This window comes from Homo sapiens, chromosome 12 (genome assembly GCF_000001405.40).
Source record: "Homo sapiens chromosome 12, GRCh38.p14 Primary Assembly".
Lineage (NCBI taxonomy): Eukaryota > Metazoa > Chordata > Mammalia > Primates > Hominidae > Homo > Homo sapiens.
This window is the reverse complement of record NC_000012.12, coordinates 67,374,722-67,389,217: the sequence shown is the minus strand read 5'-3', so window position 1 is coordinate 67,389,217 and position 14,496 is coordinate 67,374,722. Positions and strand designations below refer to the sequence as shown.

The 14,496-nt window shown below is 38.1% G+C and overlaps 1 long non-coding RNA gene across 1 annotated transcript; it reads left to right on the top strand.

Moving 5' to 3' along the window:
* Positions 1–675: 675 nt before the first annotated feature.
* On the top strand, positions 676–8,237 carry LOC105369813 (uncharacterized). The gene is made up of 3 exons (XR_945047.3): positions 676–735; positions 6,680–6,749; positions 8,149–8,237. It is a non-coding gene; the product is annotated as an uncharacterized LOC105369813 (long non-coding RNA).
* Positions 8,238–14,496: the final 6,259 nt, after the last annotated feature.

The window sequence follows — 14,496 nt, the reverse complement described above, 5'->3', positions numbered from 1 at the left end:
GGAGGCCCACCCAGCCCACTTCATCCAGCCTCTGTGTCCTGGGAGGTCTTTACATGTGAGAACGGTAAGGCCTAAGCCTCACAGAAGAGAAGACCAGCTGTGTAAAAATTAACTAATGAAGTCCAGGATCATAGAAATAGAATTGTGGTATGTGGTTACTTCTCTTCATGAAGATTTACTATCTAACCTGAACAGACATGCTGCTGTGTGACAGGAATTTATTTACTGTTCAAACCTGACCTTTTCCCGTGTGGTGGGAGATTGCATTACACTGGGTGGCTTGGAGATTTATTGTCTCTGTTTGGCTGCAGTGGCATTTCCTGACTATTGGCTGCTGAGACCCTCCTAAACTCAAGCACAGAAAATCCTGACCTCAAAGTCCCTCCTCCAACTGGGGGCAGATTTCTTGAGGGCAAAGTATTAATAGATTTAAAGGACAAGTTTGCATGGAAGCAAGTGAAAGCACAGGGGACAGTGTAATGATAAAAACACACAGGTTGCCTTCTCACCTCCCATGCAAACTAAGACAGATAAGTTCAAGCAGGCTTGAGACCCCGGGAACCCTGCAGGCAGGTGGCAGATGCAAGATCTGAAACCACAAGGAAATGAAATAGGACTCCTCTCTCCCTCGCCCCCTCCTTAATTGTCTCTCTACTCCATATCTAGGTCACAGCATCAGTTTTCCAAACCAGAGAAGAGTCTCAAAGTGTCTTCTGCAAATGGCACCAATCTCAGGTAGTCTTTAAGCACACAATGAATTAAGTGCCACACAGTTCTGTGTATTCTGGGTATATTTTAAATTTCCTTTTGCTAAATTTTTATTTTTCTTCTTTTCCTTCACTGTCATCATTTCTATAAACTTTGGTGCTTTCTTTTTAATATTTTTGTCTGCAAATATCTGTAAGGAAATTTAAAACTTAACAAATCAGGCTAAGAAAACACTATGTATTGGTAATTGAGTTCATCAAAACAAAATGGTCCCAATTAAAATGAAATTGATTTAAGATAGGACCATGTTAACTGAAAAAACTGTTTATATGCACCAAATTCAATACAAGTCACTTCAAGTGTAGCCTGTTTGGCTTCATCAGATTCACAGAGATATATATCATAGACAGCAATTAGCCAAAAGAATGTCATTTAACTATGACATTGCCCTCCCACTGTGTGCAGTATGCATCATTCATCATGGGCATATATAAAACCCCAAGGCACAAATGGACAGGAATTACTATGTTCTTCTAAAGGCATTTATTTTTTAAATTATACTCATTTTTAATTCATGTTGCCAGTTTATAATTCAAATTATAAAATTAAAACACTGGAGGGAAACCTAGACATTGTCTTGGATGGAGTTTTTCCAACCTCTTTTTAAAAGAAGAAACTTTCCCCAACTCCCCAAAAGAGAGGCCCAGTAAATAAAATTAATAGCAGAGTTTCCCACTCACTGGGAGGTCTTGAAGACCCACTTCTTCAGGGCCTCCTCCCATCCTTGCTCTTGCCCTGGCCCCCAGCACAAGAGCTTCCAGAACAACCCATAGAATTCAGAACTGCGAAATCTTTACTCAGGACAGTTTGAAAGCTGCTAATCTGGAAAGAACCTCTCACTTTATTTGAGTTGAGAAAAATGAATCCAACAGAGGTTAAATTACTTTCTTAAATTGACACAATTCTCTAATTGCTAACTTGACACTAGAACCCAGATGTCTATACCACCAAACTGCTTCCAATCAATTCCCAGTTCTTTTCTGGAGCAGAATGCCAGAAAGCAAGCCTGGATGGAAAAAAAAAAAAAGATATAGTCAGCTGCCTCCTTTATTGCCCAAGATAGAAGTCACTTTTATTATGTAATTTGATGTAGCAGTTAATGAACATATGTTTTCCATCAGACATCACAATCGTGGGGTTTCTCCTGTTAAAAACGGCGCTGTTACTCTACATAGTCTAGAACCAAGTGCAACATTTTGGTTGTCAAATTTGTAACATGAACAACTAATACTGATTGCAGAGCATTTTAAAAATATAAGATGCTGCCTAATTTTAGAAATAAGAATACAAAATTGTTCTCTATAAATAAGAACATGAATCCATGAGTCTTGCTGTCTAAATACTGCACACTTCTCTCCATATCAGTGGCCCATCTCAGGACACAACTGATGTAATATCACAGATGAAATAAGGTAGCAATGATACAAGGAAGAAGACAAAATCTCAAATTGAAATAACCTATTTAGAGGTTCAAGAGCGGCTGCTGGCTGTAGGTGCTCCTTATTTGTTCTCTGCAGTAAGCTTATTTTTCTCTCTATTTACATTAACCCTAAATTTAAGGGAACTATTTCCTGCTACTGTTAATTTTACCTTGTTTGTCCTAAGGAAAAGAGAAAAGAGAGAAGTTATTTCCAGTGTAGGATGAAGTGATCCAGGCTAATTAAATGCAGCAAGAGCTAACTGATGGATTAGCCTTTAATTCCATTAGCCCACATGCATAAACCGAAGTCATAAACATTTAGAAAGTTCTTTGCCATTTATTTTAATGCTTTTTAAATGTGCTAAGGAGAAAAAATTGATGATGTGTTTCTACAGCATTCTGGTTATGAAGGTTCTATCCATCAGTAACTAATTTATTTCTATAATGGAATACCAGTTTACAAAGAATGCTTCACATATAAGGAATTAATGCAGAAGTCTCTAAATGTGAGAAATTAATGCAGAAGCCTCTAATTATTGAAAAATACAGGCAAGAACATTTACTGAAAAAATTATATGTACTGAATTTCAAAAAAAACAAAGAGAAAAAATGCTTTAGGTCTTTTAGGAAGAAAAGATTTAAAAATCACATGGATTCAAATTTTTGCCATAAAGAAAAGAGTTCCAAAGCTCAGTTTACCACCCACTTATTAAACACCTAAATTCCAGTCCAAAGAATCTAGCTCCACCCTCAACAAGATTACTGTAACAGAATTTAAAGGATTACTAAAATAACTAACTCTGTAGCACAGTTTCTTGAAGGTTTACCTTAGTAAATCTATTAAGTCAAACATAGTCACTTAAGTTTAACACTTACGGTTCCAATAAATTTGAATTTTCAGTAACACCAGTAATTTGCCAAAATTGGTCAATTAATCTGGATTTAGTTACTAAAAATACTTTAATAGAAATAAAAATTATAAATAATTTCTAGTAATTCACTTGTTTTCCACGGTTACATTGCTTCAGCTTTGTCCCAGCTAAGCTTCACTGGATATTATGTTTTAAGACCCTGTTTGTATTTGTAAGGTAGCTGAAATTGATGAATTTTTCTTCTCAGTCACAAATGGTAATTTTATAACTGATTACACAATTCCTTTGCCATAACCACCTAATTGACTTTTATTTTAGTTTTTATGTGGCCAGTGTACCCTGACTAAAGTGGAAAAAAAATGTAGAATTGGCTGAGTGTGGTGGCTCAGGCCTGTAATCCCAGCAATATGAGAGGCCGAGGTGGGTGGATCACTTGAGGCCAGGAGTTCAAGACCAGCCTGGCCAACATAGTGAGACCCGGTCTCTATTAAAAATACAAAAATTAGCCCGTCATGGTGGTGCACGCCTCTCATCCCAGCTACTAGGGAGGCTAAGATGCAAGAATTGTTTGAACCCAGGAGGTGGAAGCTGCAGTGAGTCGAGATTGCAGCCACTTGCACTCCAGCCTAGGCAACAGACCAAGACTCTATCTCAATAAATAAATAAATAATGTAGAAATAAAAAATACTTGCCATATAGTGGGAAATATTAAAAGTATTAATTTAGTTCTCAACATTCCTTTATGTTGCAAGGACCACCCACCCCCAGGCAATGTAGAACATCCTAGGAATATGGACTAAGGATAGCACCTCTTATTCAATGTTTTCTAAAATGAATACACTAAAAGCTGCTTACAGCAAAATTATTAATCATCTTAAACCACCAGCATAACATTCAAAGACCTTCTTTGGTCTGCCCTACTTTAAAACAATTTAGTTCAAGTATGTCTTAATGGCTATTATCTATGCCAAAGACCATAGGAAGAACAGAAGATGGCATAAGATACAGTTTGAAACTAAAGGAACATAAAATTCTATTGAGGAGACAACATATGCAGAAGTAGCAATGCGCTTCCTCAGGCCTTGACCTGTTAAATAGAATACAACAATGTACACGGCTCAAGGGAAAGACCGTCAGTGCTGGGTAATCTTGGGAGATAAGAGGAGTCTAAGAGGCCTCCTGAGAAAAGAGGACCTGGCTGGCCCCTAAAGAATGGGCTAATGGGCCAAAGGTGGAGAAAGCAGGGATGCATATTCCCGCATAGGAAGCCATAATAGCAAATCTATAAAGGTGGTGGTGGCCAGGTCTCACTCAGGAGATAGCAGGGGGATTTTCCTAAAGAGAGTGCATTAGTCAGGGAGCAGGAATGATGGGGGAGAGGAGGGCAATAATAATAATACTATTATTATTATTATTAATCAAATATAATAAAGGGTCTTCATTACTACAATGATGAGTTTGAATTTCATCCGGCAGAGCAGTCATTTAAAAAAATAATAAATTATGTCAAGTCTTATCCCATTTGTGGTTGAAAATAGCCACAGGAGCATATTTACCTACATCTTAATGCCCAGAAAACAATCTGCAATGATACAAAAAAAGCTACTATCAATGGTTGCCTCTGGAGTGGGCAGGAGGTCGAGTTGGAATGGATTAAAGAGGAACTTGCACTTCGTATTGTGTACACTCCTGTGTTTAATGATTTTTTTTTTTTTTACCACAGGTTGTATTAACGTATCACTTATGTACTTAGAAAACAATTTCTTGGGGGAAAATTTTGTGATAGTTTATTCCATTTTTAAAACCAAAATGTAATTAAAACCCAAGACTTGACTTTTTTTTATGTAAAAGAAAAAAGTAAAATCCAGTTTGAATTTGTCCAGCATAGTCTTTGCTGGTTGGAACCTCATTCTATAATAACTCTTGATGTTCTATAAGGATGTGCTCACTCAGACATTAAGTATATATTGAAAAAAAAGACGCAAATTTGGAGGGCAGGATAGCAACCTGCTAGAAGTAAGGAGTCTGAATTTCAGACAGAATTCACCTTTTGCACTATCAACACAGACTCTTGCTTCAGTTTGGTGCAGGGTGAACTGATCAAGAACATGAGCTTTAGAATGCTGGCTATAACTGACATTTATTGAGTAACTAAACTTGAAGTAGGTGGGCACTATTGTCACCATCATTTTACAGTTGAGGAAGCAGATGCACAAAGAGTTCATGTAACTTTTCCCAGATGACACAATTGTAAGTGGTAAATCCAAGTCGCCTGATCCCTGAGCTTGGATTCTTAGATTTTACAACACAGTCAGGCCCAACATCAGATCACAGCCCCCACCAGCTCCATGACCCTGGAAGCGTCATTTAACCTCTCTGAGCTTCTAGTTCCTCATCCATCAGATGAGAAATTAGATAATAAATTAAAGGATTTAGGGCAATACCTGGCAAATACTAAACGCTCAAAAAATTATGGCTACTAATTGTTATGACATAGTTACATAATAGTAATGTTAACCCCTAGACATCCTTTTTTGGTTAGAGCACAAATTTCTGGTTCAAAAGACTGCCTTGAGCTTGCCTTCCACTTGCCCTGGTTTTTGTGTTTGTTTGTTTTGTTTTCTTTCCCCATACGTGCAAACATAAAGCACATGATTTTGGAAAAACTAGAGAACATTAGAGTTAAAGCAGAGATACAAGAAGAGCAAGCACTGAAATGCAAGAGGCTTCTCTACCTGTCCCAATTCACAGGAGATTGATTCTGCATCTTTTTGTTTTGTTTTGTTTTTTTGTTTTTTGGGGTTTTTTTTTTTTGAGACGGAGTCTCGCTCTGTCGCCCCAGCTGGAGTGAAGTGGCACAATCTCGGCTCACTGCAAGCTCCGCCTCCTGGGTTCACACCATTCTCCTGCCTCAGCCTCCTGAGTAGCTGGGACTACAGGTGACTGCCACCACGACCGGCTAATTGTTTTTTTGTATTTTTTAGTAGAGACGGGGTTTCACCGTGTTAGCCAGGATGGTCTCGATCTCCTGACCTCGTGATCCGCCCGCCTCAGCCTCCCAAAGTGCTGGGATTACAGGCATGAGCCACCGTGCCTGGCCCTGATTCTGCATCTTACAACTAAAAAGAAGAGCTACAAAACAAGACTGTTTATCTCCAGAATGTCTATTGTCCTGCACATTAGCAGTTTTCACCTGGGCCATTTCAGATCTCAAAAGGGAGGCAGATGCCAAAGGCTGGTCTATCATTGACATCCCCTTGTTACTGATCATCATTTTTGGAAGTTTTTTTTAAGTCAACTTAAGCCTCAACCATTAATGTATTTTCTGCAATGAAAATTAAAATTAATCATTAATATGGTCTGTTTTGTAGAGTTTTTTAAAGCAGTTTTAAAAAAAAGTTAAAATGCTGTTGACTGAACTACCCATAGAGAATGTGTGGGAAGCGAGCTGAATAGTTTTGGTTAGCGGCTTTTGCATTCTGTCCTTTTCAACCTCACTTTTATTTTTAGTCGTAATTTCCTATGTCAATTGGCAAGCTTTAAAAGGATTTTTTTTAAAAATCTATGGTGACAAGCTGCAATCTAACCTAAAAATGTCATGTTTTTCTTTTCTTTCTAGGTGTTACTCATGCCTTTCTGAGAAAATGTCTTGAATATTTCATCAAATGTGAGGGGAAAAATCCATAAATGTGAGCATATTTTTATTGTAAACAACTTGTTACACAACTGTTATTGAATTCTTCTAATGGAGCAAGGTCCTCTGTGACTTTGGTTTTCACTATTACTCAGATCCTTTGTGGCTTTGGTTTTCACAAGCTCTCTATCCCCAAATCTCTCCACTGGAAGAACTTTTAGTTTCCCTAAGTTCCCATGGCTGAATTCACGGGATTTGAAGGTACAGAAGCATCTCTCACTTGCCAGCAACTGCGAGTTTCCAAAATAGCCCTTTGATGAGGGCCTGATTCCCACTGTCATACATTAACACTTCAGAGGTAGTATTTCCTATTCCTGCAACTTGCTCTGAGCCTTGGGAAAATTACTTAACCTCCCTGGGCCTTTTTTCTCATCTGTAGTAAAGGAATAATAATATCTACTTTGTGGGTCATTGTGGAGATATATGTTATAAGGTTCTGTTTGTACTATCTAGCACAGAGCAAGCCCATATATAATGCCTATTATAATTACTTTCCTTAAAATTATATGACGACCCTACGTAACTAAAGTCAGGAGGTGCTATTACAGTGAATGGTTACAGACCTGAATAACCCTGCTCCTTAGACCTCCAGGGAATGTTGGGGGGTCCAGACACTGTCAAAGGTAGTATAGCTTGGTGATCCCGTGCTCACAGTGTGGATTGAGGCAGATTTGAATGTCAGCTCTGACACTTATTAGCCATGTGACTGTAGCAATGACAAATTACTCAGCCTCGGTTTCCTCATCTGTAGACTGGAGATGGTTTGTAACAGCATCCACTTCCTAGGATTACTTCAAGGATTGAACAAGACAGTAGGGTAAAGCACATAGTGGAATTCAGTAATTTCTCAATGCATAGCTTGTAAGCCCCAGTCCAGGTGGCGGTCATATGAATCAAAAGGCATGTGGGTGTGCCCCCCTTTCATCCCTGGCAATTGACCTATCTCTTAGGGGTTAAGACAACCCCATATTGCTTTTTCCAGTTTTGAAAATTAAAATGCTGATATATTGAACCTACTTAAATTAGAATTCTCCTCTACCTAATTATCCAGCAAGACAACCATTCTTACTGGTGTTTACTCACAAGTCTTTATAAGCATCAAATGGATGCATGTGTACTATTAATAATAATAGTGAAGACTTACCAAGAGTTTACTATGTCAATCGATTGTCTTGCATTATGTCATTTAATTTTTACATCAGCCCTTTGAAGTACTATTCTCCTTTTACAGATAAGCAAACTGAAGCTCAGAGAGGTCAACTTTCTCAGGTTTACAAGGCTAATAACTAATGGAGCCTGCACTGGTACCAAGAGAGTTTTAAACCAAAACTCGCAGTATGATATACTTCTTGCAGAATGCTCTTGCTTTAAATCAGATGTTAAATACTTTACAGATGTAACTTCGACCCATGTGATGACAAGCCTTTGGCTAGTGCTGTTGCCAGCCATGCTTTGCAGTCACTGACACAAACAGCGGGGGACGCAACTGAGGCAGGACCAAGCCCTCCATTTTGCCATCTGCTTGTTCTGAATTTCTGAACTGGGCCAAGTCGATGCTGTTTTTCACGAAAATCTCTCCATGGGTGGAATACAATGCAGCCATAAAAAAGAATGCGTTCATGTCCTTTGCAGGGACATGGATGAAGCTGGAAGCCATCATTCTCAGCAAACTAACACAGGAACAGAAAACCAAACACCGTATGTTCTCACTCATAAGTGGGAGTTGAACAATGAGAACACATGGACACAGGGAGGGGAACCTCACACACCGGGGCCTGCTGGCAGGTGGGGGGCAAGGGGAGGAAGAGCATTGGGACAAATACCTAATGCATGTGGGGCTTAAAACCTAGATGATGGGTTGATGGGTGCAGCAAATCACCATGGCACATGTATACCTACGTAACAAACCTGCTCGTTCTGCACGTGTATCCCATAACTTAAAGTTAAAAATATATATATATGGAGATATATCTATCTATCTATCTATCTATCTATCTAGATAGATAGATAGATAGATATCTCTCTATCTATCTAGATAGATAGATATATAGATATATATCTCTCTCCATGGGATCCTGCAAATAAAACAAAGAGGGAATTCTAAAAACCTAATAGCAATCTAGAGTTTACACACTATTTAGTGAATGGAGCAGTCTGTAAATCAAGTATTCTAGTTAAATCAGAGGCGTCTATGTATATATGGAACATAAAATGTCAGTTTTCAAAGAATCTGTATATAATTCCTGACACTCAAACTGGACATATTTTCATCTTTGTTTGAGAATTCAGAAGTCTGGGTTGTATCCCGAGGTTACTATCAGACATATCAATCACCACATTGTAAACTTCCAGTGAAGAAGAGAAGTACAATTTAAATGGGATTTACTGTATGACAGAGAGTATATTGTTTTTGTCTATGGATTGAAAGAATGTCCTAAATTTTTATTTCCATATTTTATCCTACATAAACCAGAATCCATGAAAGTGGTCAACTGAGTAAGTAACATGTAAATATTTTTTTGTCCAGAATAGCTATGGTCAAGTTCACTTGAAAAACGGGCTATTTTCTACTGTGTTAGCCCTTTTAATCTTCCTAAAGCTTGATATATTGAATAACTGTGAATTTGTACTATGGATTCAATGACAAGAGCTATGAACATAGAGATGGGCAAATGGAAAAATTACTGGAATTTGTCCAAAAAGTTGGTTCAGGACTTCAAGGAAACATCAGAGAAACTTCCAACTCCTCAAGGTCCCCCTTTCTGTTATTCTCTGATAAACCTAGAGAAACTCTCTCATTCCCAGTCCTTGGAGTTTTTCTCCCCAGTCCTATTTCTTCACCTTCCTTGAGACTAAACTTCAACTTTCCAGGAGATCTCAGGTCTGGATCATCACTTTCTCAATGTCGTTGCCCCAGGTGAGGCCCTTGGTAAAGCCGTCTTCATTTTTGATTCTATCCCCAGTGGACTATGTCAGCTGAAGTCAGTACTTTGAGAGTTAAGGCAATACTGATCCTCTGCTGAGACCTCTGGGGTACTGGCATGTAGCGCAACATTGCTAAACAGGGAAAGATTCTCTTTGAGTTCTCCCATAACTCACGTACTTAATGATGATGCAAACACAAAAGTGATTCTTCATGTCAGTAAATGTATAACTGTTGGTTACATGTTAAAATATGTTTCTATGTGCTGGCCAAGTAGTTTATTGATAATATAATGGTTTTCTTCTCACTAATTAAAAATATTAGAGGCAGCAATGATATGGATTCTGAATCAAACCTTGCAGTCCACCCACCTCTAGCCAAAGAGTCCCTAATGGATAGCCTCTGCTGTATTCATTTCAGAGGAAAATAGAATTCTAAAGATGTCACTCTAAGATTATTCAACCAAACAGGAATCTAGGTACTGCTATGAATTTTGCAGATATCATTAAGGATCTAGGTCTTAAAATAGGGATATTATCCTGGATTATCTGAATGTGCCAAATCTAATCATTTGAGCCCATAAGTCAGAGATATTTCTCTATCTGCAGTCAGAGAGACACAGCTGCAGAAGGGGAGAAAGATGAGGCTGGGAGTGAAGGGGGTCAGAGAGAGGAGAGTGAGATAAATATTTAGCCAGCCTTTGTTGGCTTTGAAGATAGAGGAATTGAGCCATGATATAGGGAATGTGGGCAGGGTCTAGAGGCTGAGAACAATGTTCTGTGGACAGCCAGCGAGAAAATAGGGGCCTACTTTCTACAACCACAAGGAACTGAATGCAGTCAACCTCCTGAATCAGCCTGGAATGGATTCTCCCCAAAGACCCTCCAGTAAGAAACGCAGCCCTGCCCATACCTCAGCATTGTAAGATGCTAAGCTGAGCCTACCAGACTTACAACATACAAAACTGAGAGAAAATACATGGATAATTGTTAAGCTGTTATGAAAGGAGTAATTTCTTACAACAGCAATAAGAAACTAATAAAATGTCCCAAATAAAAATGTACTCATCTCCAATAAGGACTTCGTTTTTTCCAAATTCCATGCCATATGTAATTTTCTAAGAAAAAATATCTTTGATTCAATTTTTCACTTTCTTTCACTAGGATGTAGAGATGGATCCAAAAAGTCCATATTTGCTCTAAAGTAGAAATCCATATTTATTATAGAGTAAGGGTTATATTGAGCTTCTAATGGCATGAAGTTTTTTGGTTATTCGCACACTATTAGAGTACAGGAAAGTCATTGTATAATAGAAATGTTTGTTCATTTAATACAAAGCCACTCAGTTTTGTGAGGCAAAAGAAAAGTTTTAGAACCCTATCAAATGCATGTAACGCCCAAATTAGACCTATCTTTTACAGCAAATAAATCCAATTTTAGAATTGATCTTAAGGATTCTCAGTTGAATGTTGGAAAGCTTTAAATGCCTTGTAATAGTCCCAGGAATGGATGCAATATCATCTTTATAAAACCTTGTAGTAAAAACTGAGGGAATTCAGTCAGAAATGCCAACCAACAATTCTGGTAGACCTTAAGGAAGTCATGATTTATTTTCCTCAGGCATGAGGAATCATTTTTAACAAGTATGATGACTATATATATAGCTAATGTCTCTCAACCAGAGTTTCTTAGTGCAATTTGAAAGAGCTGACGAGGCAGTAGCATGATTTAACCAAATTTCATTTATTGTAACGCATGCTAACGTCAGCTGCCTTTGCAAGCAGTAGCATGTGAGGAACAAGCCTAGAGCAGCCACGAGAGGCAGCCTGACCTGACTGACAAGGGAAGAATTAGGAAGATGAGTGGGTGTGTCCCACAACTGGACATGGTCTGCATTCCCACTAAGATTTATCTTAGTGATAAAATTAATAACTATCCATAAGGAGGCTTCTTGGCTCTGAACTGCCCTCTTTGTAACAATATGGTGTTGATATTAGGAAAAGAAGGGTCAGAAGAAAGCATGGCCCTAGATTTGGACCGTCTGCATTTCTGTTCATCAGAGTGGACTACAAAGTAATCAAATGCACAGTTTTCATTTTGTTTTTAGTTTGAAACAACAATTTCTATTGGCATATGTTTTACTTCAAATTCTGTTTTCCGAAAAAAGTGAAAAAGCAAATTAATTCCAAAGAAGCAAAGTCAGCCAATTAGCTTGTAAAGGACTGAGACTCGAAAATCTGGATTCCATGTCTGGTTCTGCCAGTGAGCCTGGAAGGTGAAAATGAACACCTCACGGGTTTGGAGGGCCTCGCCTTACACTCTCCTTCTATCATAATAAGGCAAACAAATAATGTGGTGCCTGAGGGCACAGACTTCCAAGTCACAGAACTGGCTTCCAGTCCCACCTCTGCCACTTAGTGGCTGTGTGTCTTTGCATTACTTAATGTCTTCAAATCTCCATTTCTTTACCTGTAAAATGAGTATAATCATAGCTGTCTCATAGAGATGGTGTAATAATTGAATAACATAAGTTTAGCACAGTGCCTTGCACATAGTGAGCACTCACAAATGTCAACTGTTGTTATTATTACAACTATTAAATGGTACTAGCAGATACCTTTGTGCAACATATGCAATATGTCTTTATGAGGCATTCCTAATTTCACATTTATCTACAGATATACATAATCAGAACCAAATGATTACCAAATACATTGGTTTATGTCATCTAGTTCCCAAAAAGTAAATCTCATTGGCCACACACATTCTACCTCCACAACTTTGTATTCCTGATGTGTCCTAATCTATAAAACTGACTCACACTGCATGAATTCAAATAACATTGTGTTAAAAAGAAAAGAAGACAGAGAGAGAGACAGTGACAATGTGAGAAGGAAGCTGTTAGTACAGGGCAAAGCCAACATGCAGAGGGCAAACCAACCACATTTGTCTTTGTCATCACCATCTGGCCCCATTTCCAAAGTTTAGAGACCATTTTTGTACCTTCAGCTTATTAATTGGGTTTCTGTTACCTACAACATCCACCATTGCCAGTCTGGAGCCAGGGTTGAGCCCTGCAGTCTCAATGCTTACACTAGCAACAAGCTTCCTAAAAATCAAAAGTAGTAACAATTAGGAAGGCTTTAAAGTGTCACTTCAAGGTGACAGTCCCTGCCAGTGCCCAGTGAAGGTGTCCTATTCTCAGAGGACCAAGGCATTCTGTTTAAAACAGTCAGGAAGCTTTTCAGATAACTAAATTTGTCAAACAAATGGAAACCTCAAAAACCTGGGGTTACCATATCTGGGTTTGTCACTGATGGGTATAATCTCAATCTCACGCGTATGTTGACAAAGAGTAATGCACTAAATAAGAAGGAAGATTTGTCTCTTTGCCCCCATTCTATGACTCCAAGAAGCTAGACGTGAGCATGGGTTATAGTTACATAAATCTTTGAGTCAGAATATACAGGTTTAGACCCTGGCTCTTTGTAACTCTGATCTAATCAAACTGCCTTAAATCTCAGTTTCCTTATCTATAAAATAATTATATATATATATATATATACACACACACACACACACAAACTGGACAGTGATAAGGAATTAAATGGGCCTTCACGTAGGAAATCTCCTGGATTTAGTATGTTTGTAATAAAGCTTTGTGTCCTGCTTCATGTCCCTACCCTGACCTCTATCAACTCCTGATTATTTGTCAGCTGATTTTACTGGTCAAGGATTACATAGATCTTTTCTTTTTCTCGCTCTCTCTTTTCTGCATTTCCATAGTTGCCAGGCTCTTCATTTAAGGTTAGCCTGACCAAAACAGGAAACCAAAGCGGACTTATCAAGCATTCCTACAGAATGTTATGAAAGAAAATTACTAGTACTGGTCTTCAATAAAATTTGTGAATTTCATTTCTCCAGATTTTCTTGAATACTATTAAAAGCCTACACGTTTGTATTAGTAATACAGATACAACGACCAATATTATTCCTTCATGACTCGCTTGGCTTAAAAATAGAAGAAAATTGAAATAGCATTTTAGTAACAAGATTGTTTCGTGTTAACTAATGCCATTTCAGAATGATCATTATCTTTAAGAAATATTTTCATGAAATCTGAATTTATTCTTTTACCTTTCCTAAAACACTGTAATAAAAAATTTTCTTTCTACTTCTTTGGACTTGATAGTTGTTCAAATAACATTATAGCTCATAAGAGAGGATGAAATGGCTTCTGTCCAAGTGAGATATTATTCTAGTTAATTATCAGCATTAAAATTCCAATTTAATGTTGAGCACACTAATAGACATATGCTGCCACTGCTATGGGTCAATGCTTTTATAAAAGACAATCTCATGCTAGCCGGGTATGAAATTATGTTGAGAAGCTGAATGAGCTAATGGCACCGTGTGTGCTGTGGGTGCATGCTCAGAACTCTTCACGTAGAATGAACCCCACAGAAGCTGCCTGGGTTTAGTCTAGAACTTTAAAAAATAAAGTTTATTTACGTTCTACAAATTGCATTTATTAATAGCACTTATTGAACAAAATATAGTAAAGAGTCCTCTGGGGAATTTCAAGAGAAATAGATCTCTGTCTCCAAGGAGGGCAGTCTGGGTATAGAAATATTAATCAAGTAGAGAACAGATTTCCAGAGCAGCATGCTAAAATGCCCACGTTCAACCCATTCCTCCACATGCATAAGAATTTAGAGGTAAGAAAAAGGAAGCAGAGATCAGAGGGATTAAATTGCGAGGGACTATTTCAGAAGCAGTAGTGGCAATGTGTATAAATGTGAGTCAGGAACCAGCAACT